At 35.6% G+C, this 14,074-nt stretch overlaps 3 annotated features.

Moving 5' to 3' along the window:
* Nucleotides 894–1,395: an enhancer, noted in NCBI's record as "H3K4me1 hESC enhancer chr1:88149733-88150234 (GRCh37/hg19 assembly coordinates)". NCBI's record gives its function as "activates a minimal SCP1, AML or CMV promoter by ChIP-STARR-seq in naive H9 embryonic stem cells {active_cell/tissue: H9 hESC(naive)}" and the evidence as "EXISTENCE:reporter gene assay evidence [ECO:0000049][PMID:30033119]".
* Nucleotides 2,378–2,993: an enhancer, noted in NCBI's record as "OCT4-NANOG hESC enhancer chr1:88151217-88151832 (GRCh37/hg19 assembly coordinates)". NCBI's record gives its function as "activates a minimal SCP1, AML or CMV promoter by ChIP-STARR-seq in primed H9 embryonic stem cells {active_cell/tissue: H9 hESC(primed)}" and the evidence as "EXISTENCE:reporter gene assay evidence [ECO:0000049][PMID:30033119]".
* Nucleotides 4,853–6,052: an enhancer, noted in NCBI's record as "BRD4-independent group 4 enhancer chr1:88153692-88154891 (GRCh37/hg19 assembly coordinates)". NCBI's record gives its function as "activates an origin of replication core promoter dependent on BRD2, P300/CBP, MED14 and CDK7 cofactors, and independent of BRD4, by STARR-seq in HCT116 cells {active_cell/tissue: HCT116}" and the evidence as "EXISTENCE:reporter gene assay evidence [ECO:0000049][PMID:35650434]".

Here is a 14,074-nt window from a genome sequence, read left to right on the forward strand (position 1 = left end):
CATGTACATTTGGAACTTTAAAAACATATCAATAAAAAAATGATTAACTACAAGCCTTCCATTTCTATTAGGATTTCTTTTCCTTCTTCTTCTTCTTTTTCTTAATTAAGTTAACTTTGTTGGCAATTTTGTGCATCTTCCCCAGAATAGTCAATGGTCCCTCCACTCAGTTATCTCACCAAGTCATAATACTCATTTCTCAATCTTTGGCCACAAGAAGGGCTTTGCTTTAGCTGTTTTACTTCTCCTATTTACTTCCCCTCAAGCCCACTTCACCCCAGTGTTTTAAAACCATGACCATTAAAAATTCTTTTAAAAAACACTTAAATAGTATCACCTCCCCCCTTAAAAATGTCTTGTCAGATTTCTTCCTCTTGTTTGCTTCAGAAAGTGGTGCTTTGATTGTCCATTAGAGAGTTGTTTACATTTCTCCAAAAGCTCCATTTAGTTTCCTTGACAAGGTGGAATAAGTGACTGGCTGTGATGGATAGAGGCACCTGTCCTAATGGCTGCTCACACTGTGCCCACCAGTGCACGTTACATTGATAAATTGACAACAGTTGGGACATGCTCTGCTAGCAGCAAGAATGAGGCTACGAGGACAAACACAGGCGGTTAGACAGTCTGCTTTAATATTCCTGGGAAAGGTGTACAGCCTCCTAATCTAACACCCCAACAGCTGCGGTGAGGAATTAGTGCACAGGCAGAATTTCTTTGTTGCCTTGACACTACCTCTGCTAGTTAGCCTGGAATTATATTCACTGTAAAAGATTCCTTGGTCTTCCAGTGATATGCCTGCAGTACTTGGGTTGGGTGATTTAATGAAAACTATAAGATTTTAATTTTGTTATGAATGTATGGGTTTTTAAAAAGATTCCTTCATTGAATTTTTCTCCTTCCTCTGATGAGAAAAACAATAAGGACAACAAAATGTCTTATTAGCTATGAGTTGATTATCAGGAAAATGTGGGACATAGCCTTAGTCAACACTAAGGTGTTAATTATCTGGAATAAGGAGCTCAGGAGGGCCCAAATTTCCAGTAATGAAGAGATAACTGTCCGTCAGGACACCCCATGCAGCCAGGGGGTCTTAGAAGGTGTTCCGTTCTCTATCCTGCTTCCACTTTCATTTTCTTTTTCCACTCTGCTGGTTTCGTGTTACCTTTAAAAGACCGTGCAGCAGTGGGTCTTAGCAACTGAATCTCCCCCATGTTGACAAAGAGCCGAGGCAGGCACATAGCTATAAGGGCAGACCCAAGATTTTGCAGTCCCTCTTCACAACGTCCTCCCTCTCAGATAAGTTGAGAGCATTCGGGGAAAGTGGTGGGTGGATCAGCTCACATCGCTGGGCCAAGAGCCGCCGCCGCAGCAGCAATCTCGACACGGTCCCTCGCTGCTTCATCCATTACATGCTTATCTTAACTGAAGACTAATCTAAAGGAACAAATGACCACACGGAAAATGCTACAACTTAATACAAAGTCATAAAAAAAAAAAAAAGAATGCAGGCGCAAAAGAAGCACGGACATAATAATGCTTCCCTGAGCCTCGCTTTTGAATGGCCTAGTTACTGATTTTATGATAAGACACAGTTTGCCTTTATGATTTGCATGGCTAATGAAGCAATTAGCAGCCATCATATATAAAACATGCTAGTTCTTCATTAGACACCAAACAAAATGGCATAACACGAGATGTATAGTGTGGGGAGGCTCAAGTGACTTGCTCATTCTGTTTACTTTGTGTGGAGTTTTGTTGGAAGCCTGGTCGCTGCACGCATCACATTTAGAAGGCTAGACTGTGGTTAGTTTGATGTGAAATTCTGACTGGCTGGCAGTCGCCTCCACTCCCCACCCCCTAACTGCTACTAAATTTCATTTCAAGTTATAATTATTGACATTGGAAACAGCTACTCGTATCACAACAACAAAGCAACAATTATACAGGATCTGGTGTTTCTCATGCAAATTACAGCAATAAAATACAGGAAAATCCGGCCCACTTACAGACCAGTCTTTGTCTTTGGAGAACACAGTCTGAACTATTTGGTTAACTAAATTAAAATGTAAATCTTGGCTGGCTTTTCTTCTTAGATAGCGATATGAAACAGTTTCTAAAAGACAGAAAAAGCTTAAGGGACCACATTTCAAACAACTTGTCATGAATATTTTTTTTAATGAATTAGGTCTGAAAAGCTTAACTGTCTATAACAATCACGGATTCTACGATGCTGTTCAAACAGGAAAAGCAGAAGGGAGAGTCCTGTATATTTTCCCCTTATATTTTTGTTTGTAAAGGAACTTGAGAGTGTTGGAAGATGCACGGCAGTAGAGTCCCTTGCGTTGCACAAGTAAAGCCATAGCTCTCAGACTCCCGGTCGGTGTAACATGTATAATGAGACATATAACCTAGAGGAGGAGATTAGTGAGTATTAAAGCTGAGTTCTTTTACTTTATTAGTGTTGCTTTCCTTCCTGTCTTTGTCTCTTCTCCACACAAAACCCAAGCTTGTGAAAAAGTGTCCCAGCGAGGGAGGGCTACATTAAAAAGTCAACCACGGTGGCATTAGCATTAAGGCGCTCTGAATGCAGCCACTCTGAGCCACATGGAGTTCTGCAAAGAACCGGAAACAATGATTTGAATCTATAGGGAAATGGCATGGTTTCCGATCCATTATCATTACTGGTTTAAAAAACAAAACTAAACCAAACAAAGCCCCCCTCGACAAGCATAAAAAAGGGTTGGATCCACAAGGCCGCAATCAGAACTACAGAAGACAACATCAAAGAAAGGAGAAGAAAAGCAACTGCTTGTGCCTCTGGCCAGGATTCAGCTAACAACGCATCTGCTTTGAAAGCCATACCTCAGAGTTTGACCACAAGTAAACTGACCCGTAGGAAGCCACGACAATGGAGGACACTGACATTTAATTTATGTATTTAATTTTTTTATACAGAGAAAAGCAATTGTGTGATCATATCTCATTTATAACAGATCTGATCTTTAAAAGGCAATAATTTTACAAATGCACTTTTGCATTAAGAATACTGTTATCATAAGCATGGAGCAAACACTGTGTGGGCAGTCACTCTGACTTATAGCAGCTCTGTACAGCCGCTGCAAGATAACCAAGAGTAATGGTTTTTGATAATCAGGCCACACTATTAATATAACATGAACCACAAGTGCTTTTGTACTGCAGCTCTGGTTAAACTAGCAAATCTCATTGGAATATAAAGAAGGGGTGGGGAGTCATGTTCTGTTTTCTGCTACTTCTGCACTGAAAAATATGCCTCAAGGTGCTGTCTTAGGTGTTTCATGTCTTAGGGCACATGTAGTGGCGCTGAAGAATGTTTCCCTTTAGAACCTCTGGCCCTTTCTGCTCAGTTCGAGTTCAGTGACTACCTACTAGGTCAGAATTTAGGTCCGTGAAATGCAGCAGATGGATTCCAAATGGCAGTTTTGTTGGCTGGAGTAAAGCTGGTGGAACATGCTGAGGCCCATAGCAAGCTGGGTTTATGCTGGTCTCTCACTGGTCTGTGACTGTTGAAATATTGCTGGGTGTAAAGGGACTAATTTTGGCCAATGTGAGCAAAGGGGAATGCTGCCCCTCCATCGTAAATGTTAATGTGAAGGAAAATATGAGGGAAACACTTCTGGTGGTAAGAGTCAGACAACATAATCATAACAAGTAAAACCAGGCTTAAGCATGTCACTGCAATGTTTATTCATATGGTGACATTTACTGTAGCTTTCCTCTAAAAGGCAATGGTTTCTTCCTGTTTTAACAACCCAGAAACCATTATGAAGTTACTTTGGACACATGATGTGTACTTCTGTCATAGAGCTCTCCATTTCCTAGGACATCTGCAATGGGAGTGAATTATGTCTAGAAAATCAATGCTTGGGCCAGTTCTGTAAATTTGAGGAGGCATGTAAAGAAACATATTTCCCGAATTTCACAATGAGGAGAGAAGATTAGAAAGGGCCGATTAAAGAAGCAGAGCCTCTATAAGACTGAGTGCTGTGTTTAAACATTTAAGAACCTCCTCCTGTGCCATGTTTTTTGTAAAACTCGCCCTACGAATGCACATCAGGAGTGGATCTCTCTGGATCTCTTCAGCTGTCATGGCAGTAGATGAAGGCTAATGTTTATGGTACTTAATTGTGCTTCAGTTGTGATGCTTTTGTGTGATGCTTTCGTCACCATATAATGCCTTATATATTGTTATTCATTCATTTATCAAACATTTATTGAGCATTTACTATGTGCCAGTCATTCAACCAGGCATGCAGAAAGAGGATGAAGTGAATCTGTCTCAAGCATATCAGAATCTGGTAGGAAAGAATAGACATGTACATAATTAATTATAAAACTTGGTAGAACATGTTAAAGAGAAGTACATTTAAGTTGCTGTGGGAAAGATTACATTGAACAACATGGAATTAATGAAGATTTTGATGCATTTAATCTGGTCCTTAAATAATGTGTGGGTTTTAAATACATGTTTTGTTGTCCCCACTGTGATGGAAATTAGTTGAAGTTAGTCACCATGTTTAATTTATATGAATATATTTAATATATTGCTATATTGAGTCAAATGTCTGTTCTATGGAGGCCTTACATTAATGGATACCATCTATAGAGCACTTGCTATGTTTCAGGCATTGTTATAAGCCCATATGCTCTTATTTAACCCACGTGGCATCTGCAGATAGATTCAAATTATCCCCATTTTATAGAGAAAACTGAAGCACTGAGAGGTTCACTAAATTGCTCAACTTCATAGCTATTAAGTGGAGAAGCTGGGTTGGAGCTGGGGCAGTCTGCTCTGAGTCTATATTCCTTACCCAAACACTTTAACTGCTTCTGGTCAATAAACACTGAATGTTGAACAAATCCTGAGCAGTTACAATGCAATTTTACTTATCACTGTTGAATTTCTCAAGGATACTCGGCTCAGGAAACAACATAAAAAATCATCAGGGTGCGTAAAAATTGGTTTACAATTTAATTAATTCTCTTCGTAAGAAAGTCAAGCCGTTGTTCACAATGTTTGTTCTCTTGAAAGCCTTGAGGTATTGAATCATCTAGGATGGTTTCAAGTTAAACAGATTTTTAAGATAATAGTTTTATTGTTTGATAAACACAGCATCATTGCCCTGGGCATCAAGTCAGGTGTTTAGTCTTGCATTATCATGATACAGTGTTATGATGCACATCCGTATGGTAAAGCTGGGTTCTATGGACCTGAGTCTCCAGCACCCTTGGTGCTCCGCATGAGTTGCAGAACAATCCTTCCCTGTCAGAAAAGAATTCATTGTTCAGAAGATGATCAGTAGCTTGATCTTGTTTGCACAGATTTCAGTGGTGTAGAGTGTAGGGAGTTGATGGGACAACTGGGTAGAGAGTAGGCAATGCCACCATACATATAAGCATGTGAGCTGCGTGCAGAAACCTGCTCCATTGGAGAAGCGAAGAAATGGAATGTCCTCAAGTGGACCAGCTATCCGCATTTCACCAGGTTCAATCTTTGCTTAAATCCTTTTTTCCACAATACAGCTGAACTTGCCTGTTTCAAATAAGAAGTTGTGAAAAATAAATATGAAACCGACAGATACATTTATCCTTGTAAAAATTAGCAAGGAACAAAGAAAACTATAATGTTCAATTTTGCTAAAGTTATTGAAAAATTGCTATTCTTGTACATCACTTACATGTAGTGCAAAAAATTGTGATCTTGGTGATTTGTAAACTTTATTTAGAGCTATAAAATGCTATGCCAAAGGTACACGTAATTCCATGGCCAGTAGTTCATTATAAGGAAGCAGTTATGAACATAAAGATTCGTAAACAAGGATATACATTTAAAATTATTTAAGATATTAAAAAACTAGAAATAGCCTAAATTTTTATCAATAGGGAAACTACTAATTTTAGAACATCTATAAAATAAAATACAAAAAAGCAGAGTACAAGCTGTACATAAAATGTTGCCTCGATTCAGCATGAAAAAAATGCTCTACAGAATAAAATAACTGTGCAGCAAAATGATGGGTACCTTTAATTTTTCTTGTTTGTACACCCTATATATTTGTTGAAATGTTATACCATGAACATATATTGTTTCTGTTTTTCAAGGATTAAGTAAATATGAAGCACTATTTAGAAGGCTGTGAACGTGCTGAGGATCCATCCAGAAGGACTCCAGACTTGCTCTGTGAGGACGAGGCTTGTTCCCTCTGTCCCCTCTTGATTGCTGAAATCAGTGCTGCTTTTTCCTTACCCTTCTACTGTAAATTCTAGGAGAGGTAAAACTTTTTAATAGGTTATGAGAGAGCAGCCTTTAGAACTAGGAAGAGGAATGAGCATTTGAAATATATTTTCAAGAAAAAAATAAGCATGTTATTTTGGAGAACTTGTTGGAAAATAGAAAATTTTCCTCCTGCTTGAGTTAAACAAATCTCTGGGTGAGTTAGTTTTGGACTATGGACTGTAGACAATATAGATTGCTTTTGACTTTGTAAGTAATAATGTCTAACTTTAACAAGTCAAACATTATGAATAGATTTGAGCACAAAATTTTCAAGATAAGATAAAGTAAGGAAATAAGAGGAAACAGTATTTAAAGCAGGCAAGGGCATGCCTTTCCTTGGGTTTCTCTAGATAAGTATTGATTTCTACATGGCTGCATTGGTTGCAATGCAATATTGCTGGCAGCTACTAATTACGATTATACCACTGGCTTGTGATGACAAAAATGCTGGCCCATTCTGTTAATGCTTCTTTTCAGTTTAAAGAAATAAATAAAATAATTCTGATTTCCCCAGATATTGCCAAGTTGCAGTGTCAGTCACTCTCAATTATATTCCTGTTCAAATGATTGTACAAAGTTTAATTCCCTTTTATTCATAGTTGGCATTCATTCATTTATTCAACATTTGCTGAATTCCTATTATATTACAAGAAATAAGAAGTTTTATTTGTCCTTTAAATTTTATTTCCAACCTCTTAGAGATTGTTTAACTTAATACCAATTATTTTCTGTTATTTTTACACCCAGCACCCAAAATGGTATGGGGCATATTTATTTCTTAAATTAAAGTGAATTAAAATAAATTCTTGAGAATTTCATTATATCCCTTGAGATAATTGGAAACATAAAATAACATACCACAGAAAATGTGCCTTTATATCCATGTGTGTGTGTATATGTATTTGTTCAGCATTAGAAATAAGAATCACAGATAATCAAGAAAGCAGCAAAATTTTTAATAGTCTTTGAAAATGTTATATTTAACTAACAATATACTTTTCATATGACAATTTGTAGAAAAATTGAAATATTGGAATTTGTTTAACTTTTAGATTTTAGTGGCAGTAACAAAAAGCTCTTGTTGTTATAGTTGTGTCTATAATTGGATTCAAAACAATTCAATAAAATTAAATTTACAGGTTAATATAAATAAATTTATAATTTAAATAAATTAATAATTTTAAAAAAAGAAACAGTATGACATAATAGAACAGTCTTTTAGAATAGTCCTGGCAAAGAAAAAATGTCTTAGTATTACAAAAAACTAAAATAAGAATCAACTTTCTATAAAATCCTATTCCCTCACTTTAAAGATAGACAAGTTGAGAAACTCGTCCAATGTTCTATAGCCAGCCAGTAGTAAGCTCACTATCAAACTGAAGTTTTCAGACTTTCTGTTTGGTCACCTTGTCTCAGTCCACATGAGCCAAATTTTTCTCAAACTCCAATCAGTTGTATAAATGGTTTATTTGCCAGCTTTTCTAGTAGCAAACCAACCTAACTATAAGAAAGTTTAATGTCAGAGAGAAAGAAAGAAACAAATAAGCAAAGAAAAGAGAGAAGCAAAGAAATAAACAAAGAAGGAAAGAACAAGCAAGCCAGCCAGTCATTGGCCAGTGTTAAATAATAAGGGTAAATAAAAATGAATATTTACTGTGAAAACTAATTGCACTAATGTCCTGTGTAGTACCAAAAATATATAGAACTAGAATGCCCAGCAAATACACAAAAGGTAGAAAGGGCAAAGGGAATCAACATGTTGGTAACGTCAGTATTACTTGGGAAGGAGTAAAAACATGAATTTATTTATATGTTGGACCATAATAAAATAACGATGCATACTTTAATCTCTAGGGTAATCATTAAAAATAATAAAATACAGCCAGGCATGGTGGATCATGCCTGTAATCCCAGCACTTTGGGAGGCCAAGTTGGGTGGATCACGAGGTCAGGAGATTGAGACCATCCTGGCTAACATGGTGGAATCCTGTCTCTACTTAAAAAAAAAAAAATACAAAAAATTAGCTGGCGTGGTGGTGGGCACCTGTAGTCCCAGCTACTCGGGAGGCTGAGGCAGGAGAATGTTGTGAACCCAGGAGGTGGAGCGTGCAGTGAGCCAAGATCGCGCCATTTCACTCCAGCCTGGGCAACAAAGCGAGACTCCATCTCAAAAATAAATAAATAAATAAATAAATAATAATAATAATAATAAAATACTAACAAACCAACAAAAAGAAAATGGAATGATTTAAAATAATTAATTAATTTAAAAGAAGGCAAAAAGAAAAGAAAAACGTATACAAAGCAGAAGGAACAAATAGAAAACAAGTAGTAACGTTATAGCTATGAAACTACAAATATCAGTAATTACATTTAATGTCAATAGACCACATACTCCAATTGAAAAACAATGATTGTTAAATTGGATGAAAAAACAAAACCCAACTATGTGTTGCTTACATGAGATACATCTTAAAGATAGGTACACAGAAAATTTGACAGTAAAAGGATGGACACAGGAATAATGCAAATCCTAACCCCCCAAAAGCTGCTATATTTATACTAATATCAGATAAAGGAGCATTTTGAGAGATAAGCAGTGACATTTCAAAACTATAAAAGGCTTTGAATAACTAGATGCAGATAATAATTTTAAGTTTGTACCACCTAGCAACATAGTGTCAAAATACACAAGTCAAAAATAGACAGAAAAAAGTAGAAATAGACATATCTGTAATAACAGTGAGAAACTATAACACTTCTCTTACTAACTTGTAAACAAAGCAGATAAAAGTCAATAAATACATAAAATATCTGAACCTAACAATACACATTATTTTCAAGTGCATGTGGGATATTTACCAAAATTGACCATATCCTGGATCATTGATTAAGTCTCAAATTTTGGAAAACTGAGATCAGTCAGAGTATGTTCTCTGTTCTCAGTGGAATGAAGCTATAAATTAATAAACAAATATAAAAAATCCAAATGTTTGGAAATCAAGCAACACATTTATAAATAATTTATGCAGAAAATAAGCAGTCACTAGGAAAATTGGAAAAAAATTTTAAACAAATGATAATAAAATATAACATATCAAAATTTTTAGGAATTTGCTGAGGCTGTGATTAAGGGGAAACTATAGCCTTAAATGCATACACGCTAAAAGAAGAAAGGCTGAATATCAAGAATGTGAGAATTGATATCAAGAAATATGGGGAAGAACTCACAACAAATGAAAACCAACAAAAGTAGAAGAAACCACTAAAGATAAAAGTAGAGAATAATAATATAAAAACCAAATTTACAAGAAAATAAAATCAACAAGGTCAAAAGTTTGTTCCCTGAAAAGACTTTTAAACTGATAGATTGATCAAGAAGAGAGTGATACAGATTACCAATATTAGAACTGACAAATGGGACATCACTACAGATTCAAGACACTGACAGAATACTAAGAGCATAATGTGAACAACTTTATGCTAAGAAACTGGAAAACTTAAGTGAAATAGATAAATTTCTAGAAAAACACAGGTTTTCTAAACTAATAAAATAAGAAACAAAAAATCTAAATATTCTTATATATATTAAATGAATTGAATCCTTAATACAAACCTTCCCACAAAATGTCTTTAATCCCAGATAGCTTCACCAATGAATTTTCCAAATATTTAAGGAAAATTACATCAATTTTCAACAATCATATGCAGATATTTCCAGAGAATAGAACTGAAAACACTTTCTAATTTATTTTAAAAGGTCAGCATACCCTTGATACTAAAACTTGTCAAGTACTTTAAAAAAAATAAGAATAGGGCAATTTCTCATACAAACGTAGCTGCAAAAATCCTGAACAAAATATTGGAAAATAGAATCTATTAATACATTAAAATAATACATACATCATAATGAATCAAGTTTATTCTTGAATAAAAAGTTGGTTTAACATTTAAAAATTAATCAGTGAGGCTGCTCTGCCTATGGAGTAGCCATTCTTTGTTCCTTTACTTTTTAAATAAACTTGCTTTCACTTAAAAAAAAAAACAACTAATCAATAAATCACCAACATTAATAGAATAAAGCAGAAAACTCATATAATCATTTCAGTGGATGAAGAAAAAAATTGAATAAAATTCAATATCCACAAATGTAAAAAAGTTCTTGGTAAACTAAGAATAGAATAGAATTTACTTAATCTAATGTATACATTATATATTGTAAAACTATTGACCATATGACTTCAATGACTTCCAAAGAATCTAGTCTTCTTTAATAAAAGTGCTGATGGACCAGAACAGTTTCTGGGAAATTATAGATCATCAGGGATTACCAGCTAAGAGTTTTTAAACAGGTTAACAATTGTCCAAGTTGGTTATTACTCTGCCAGAATTAGTCTGCACTTTCATCATTTTCAGATTACAGTTTTTTACCTACAAAATTTTTTGAATCACATTAAGGAAGTTGCCTCTCTTGCTCTTTTTTTAGTAAAAATATTTTACAGGACATATTCCATTTACTTTGAACATTTATGTGTTATAATTATACTTAAGCTATTAAGAATGGCATAAAGGCAAACTTTTTCATAATTGATTAAAACACAAAACAAAACCACTGGCCCTCAAAAAGAAATGTAACTCAAAGTATGGGCGGGAAAGAAGAGACATATGGTGACCTCATGAGTGGGTTAAGTTCAGAATAGATAAATGACTTAAAGGTTTACAGTTTCTATTTTGAGAGACATACAATACACTTCAAAAAACCTATTGCTTAAAGAAATATTAAGAACAAGAAAGGAGCTATATAAAAGAATTGTTCTTAGAAACCTGGAAGCGATGTTCTACCAGTATTCTTTTAATTATAATTAGATAATGAACAATTATAATAAGGAAAACTGCTACAATACCCACTTAGGCTGATCTTTCCCTTTAACTTCACAGCAGGATATAGGACTTACATTTTTTCAATTCCCTTGAAACCAAACCTAAGTGTGAAGTGAGCCATTCTCTGGAAGTATGGGCATATATATATATTTTTCACTTAGTAAGTTACCAAACTTGACATGCAATAAGGAAAGAATGTTTTTGAGTGTAGAAGAAGTCTTGTAAAAATCCACCATCTGGGGTGGTTTGAAAGATGTGGTCTAATGTAGAAGATAAATTAGTGAAAAACAAAGGATAATTCCTATACTGCATGCAGGTTGGCTGGAGACACCCAGAGATGGCCACATGAGAAGAAAGGTGACACATAAGGAAATTAGTGTTGAACAATTTGGAAATAACTGTCAAACCCTGGTTGAATATTTGCATGTAGGAAGATATTTCTTTTGCTGTTTGCCCTGTGTGAATGAGTTAATACCAGTAGACAGGATTGAACAAAGTGGACTTATTAGAATAATTGTTCTAACTCTCAGTCTCTGCTGAAGACAAAAATAATGCAGCCTAGGCAACATGGCGAAACCCTACAAAAAAAATACAAAAAATTAGCCAGGCATGGTGGTGCACACCTGTAGTCTCAGCTACTTAGGAAGCTGAGGTGGGAGGATCACTTGAGCCCAGGAAGTGGAGGTTGCAGTGAGCTGAGATCACGCCACTGCACTTCAGCCTGGCAAAGGAGTGAAACCCTGCCCCCCTGCCCCGAAAAAAAAAAAGATGAAAATAATGACAGGAGATATTTATTAGTAATTGGTTTCCCACAAGACACATATTTGTCATGTACATAATCCTTTCCGAGATATATCTTAAAGGCTATTTGCACTGCAATATGGCCTGACTTTAAGTATAAGATGTGTCTATTTTATGCACTACTATATATTCCAAGAACCTAATACAGTGCCTGGCACATTGTGCTCAGTAACTACAGTTAACCCTTGAACAACATGGGTTTGAAAGGCATGGGTCCACTTATACATGGATTTTTAAAAATAAATATATTAGAAAATGTTCTGGAGATTTGCAACAATTTGAAAAAGAATTTGCAAACTGTGTAGCCTAGAAGTGTTGAAAAAATTAAGATATATGTAGATACTAGTGTGTTTTATCATTCACTATCATAAAGTGTACATAAATCTATTATAAAAAGCTAAAATGTATCGAAACACACACACACACAAACACAGGTAGACTGTACATGGTGCCATTTGCAGTGGAGAGAAATGTAAATGAACATAAAGACAGTATTAAATCATAACTACATAAAATTAACTCTAGTACATACTGTACAACTGTAATAATTTTGTAGCCACCTCCTGTTGCTATTGTGGTGAGCTCAAGTGTTTGGAGTATCTGCTTAAAATGCCCTATGATGCTACTAATCACCTCCACATTAGTACTTTCTCTCTATAGTAAATTGCTTATTGCAGTAAAAAGTAACCTCTTGTGGTTCTCACTTGGTTTTCATTGTGTTTAACACCACACCCAGAACCTTGAATAACACCAGGGTACCCATAAGAAGCACCGCTAGTGGTGCTGGAAGTGCTCCCAACAAGCAGAGAAAAGTCATGACATTACACGAAAAATTTGAATGGCTTAAAATGTAACATAAACTGAGATCTGCAGCTGCAGTTGACTGCCATTTCAAAATAAATAAATCCAAGTGTAAGAACCATTGTGAAAAAAATAAAAGGAAATTCCTGAAGGAGTCACTGCAGATATGCCAGCAGGCACAATATTCTTCTGCTTTTTGCAAAATATCTTTTTATCTTGTATTGAAAAATGCAGCTTTTATGTGTGTGCAGGATTGCTATATGGACAGCATACCTGCAGACTTTAATATGATTAGAGAAAAAGTGAAGTCATTATACAGCAACTGAAAGCAAAAGGAGGGTGAAAGATCTAAAGCTGGAGTATTTAATGCTAGCAAAGGATGGTTTGATAATTTTAGAAAGAGGTTTGGCTTCAAAAATGTCAAGGTAACAGAAGAATCAGCTTTTGCCAACCAAAAGGCAACAGACAAGTTCCTAGATGTCGTTAAGAAAATCATTGAGGAGAAAGGATATCTGTCTGAATGGGGTTTTAACGCAGATGAAAGTCCCCTATTCTGGGGGGAAATAAAAGCCATAAAGGACATTTATTACTAAGGAAGAGAAAGAAGCACCAGATTTAAGGCAGGAAGGGATAGTCTAACTCTACTATTTTGTACAAGTACATGCAGGCTTATGATCAGGAATACCCTTATCTATAAAGTTGCTAGCCTGGGAGCCTTGAGGAAAAAAGTAAATAAATACCAGCTGCCAATCTTTTGGTTGTACAACGAGGAGGCCTGGACAATGGGAATCATTTTTCTGGGTTGGTTCTATTGATGCTTTGTCCCTGAAGTCAGGAAGTACCTTGCCAATAAAGGACTACCTTTTAAAGTTCTTTTGAAATTAGACAATGCCCCTGGGCCTCCAGGACTTCATGAGTTTGACACCAAAGGTGTCGAAGTGGTCTACTTGCCCCCAAACATAACATCTTTAATCCAGCCTCTAGATCAGGAGATCATAAGGACCTTTAAGGCTCATCACACATGGTACTCTATGGAAAGGATCTCCAATGTCACGAAAGAGAACCGTGTTAGAGAGAACATCTTGACTGTCTGGCAGGATTACATTATTGCAGATGCCATTGTTGTTACAGAAAAAGCTGTGAAAGCCATTAAGCTCAAAATAATAAGTCCCTGCTTGAGAAAACTGTCCAGATGTTGTGCATGACTTCACAGGATTTATGACAGAATCAATCAAGAAAGTCATGAAAGAGATTCTGGATATGGCAAAAATGGTA

Source organism: Homo sapiens, chromosome 1 (assembly GCF_000001405.40).
Source record: "Homo sapiens chromosome 1, GRCh38.p14 Primary Assembly".
NCBI classification, from domain to species: domain Eukaryota; kingdom Metazoa; phylum Chordata; class Mammalia; order Primates; family Hominidae; genus Homo; species Homo sapiens.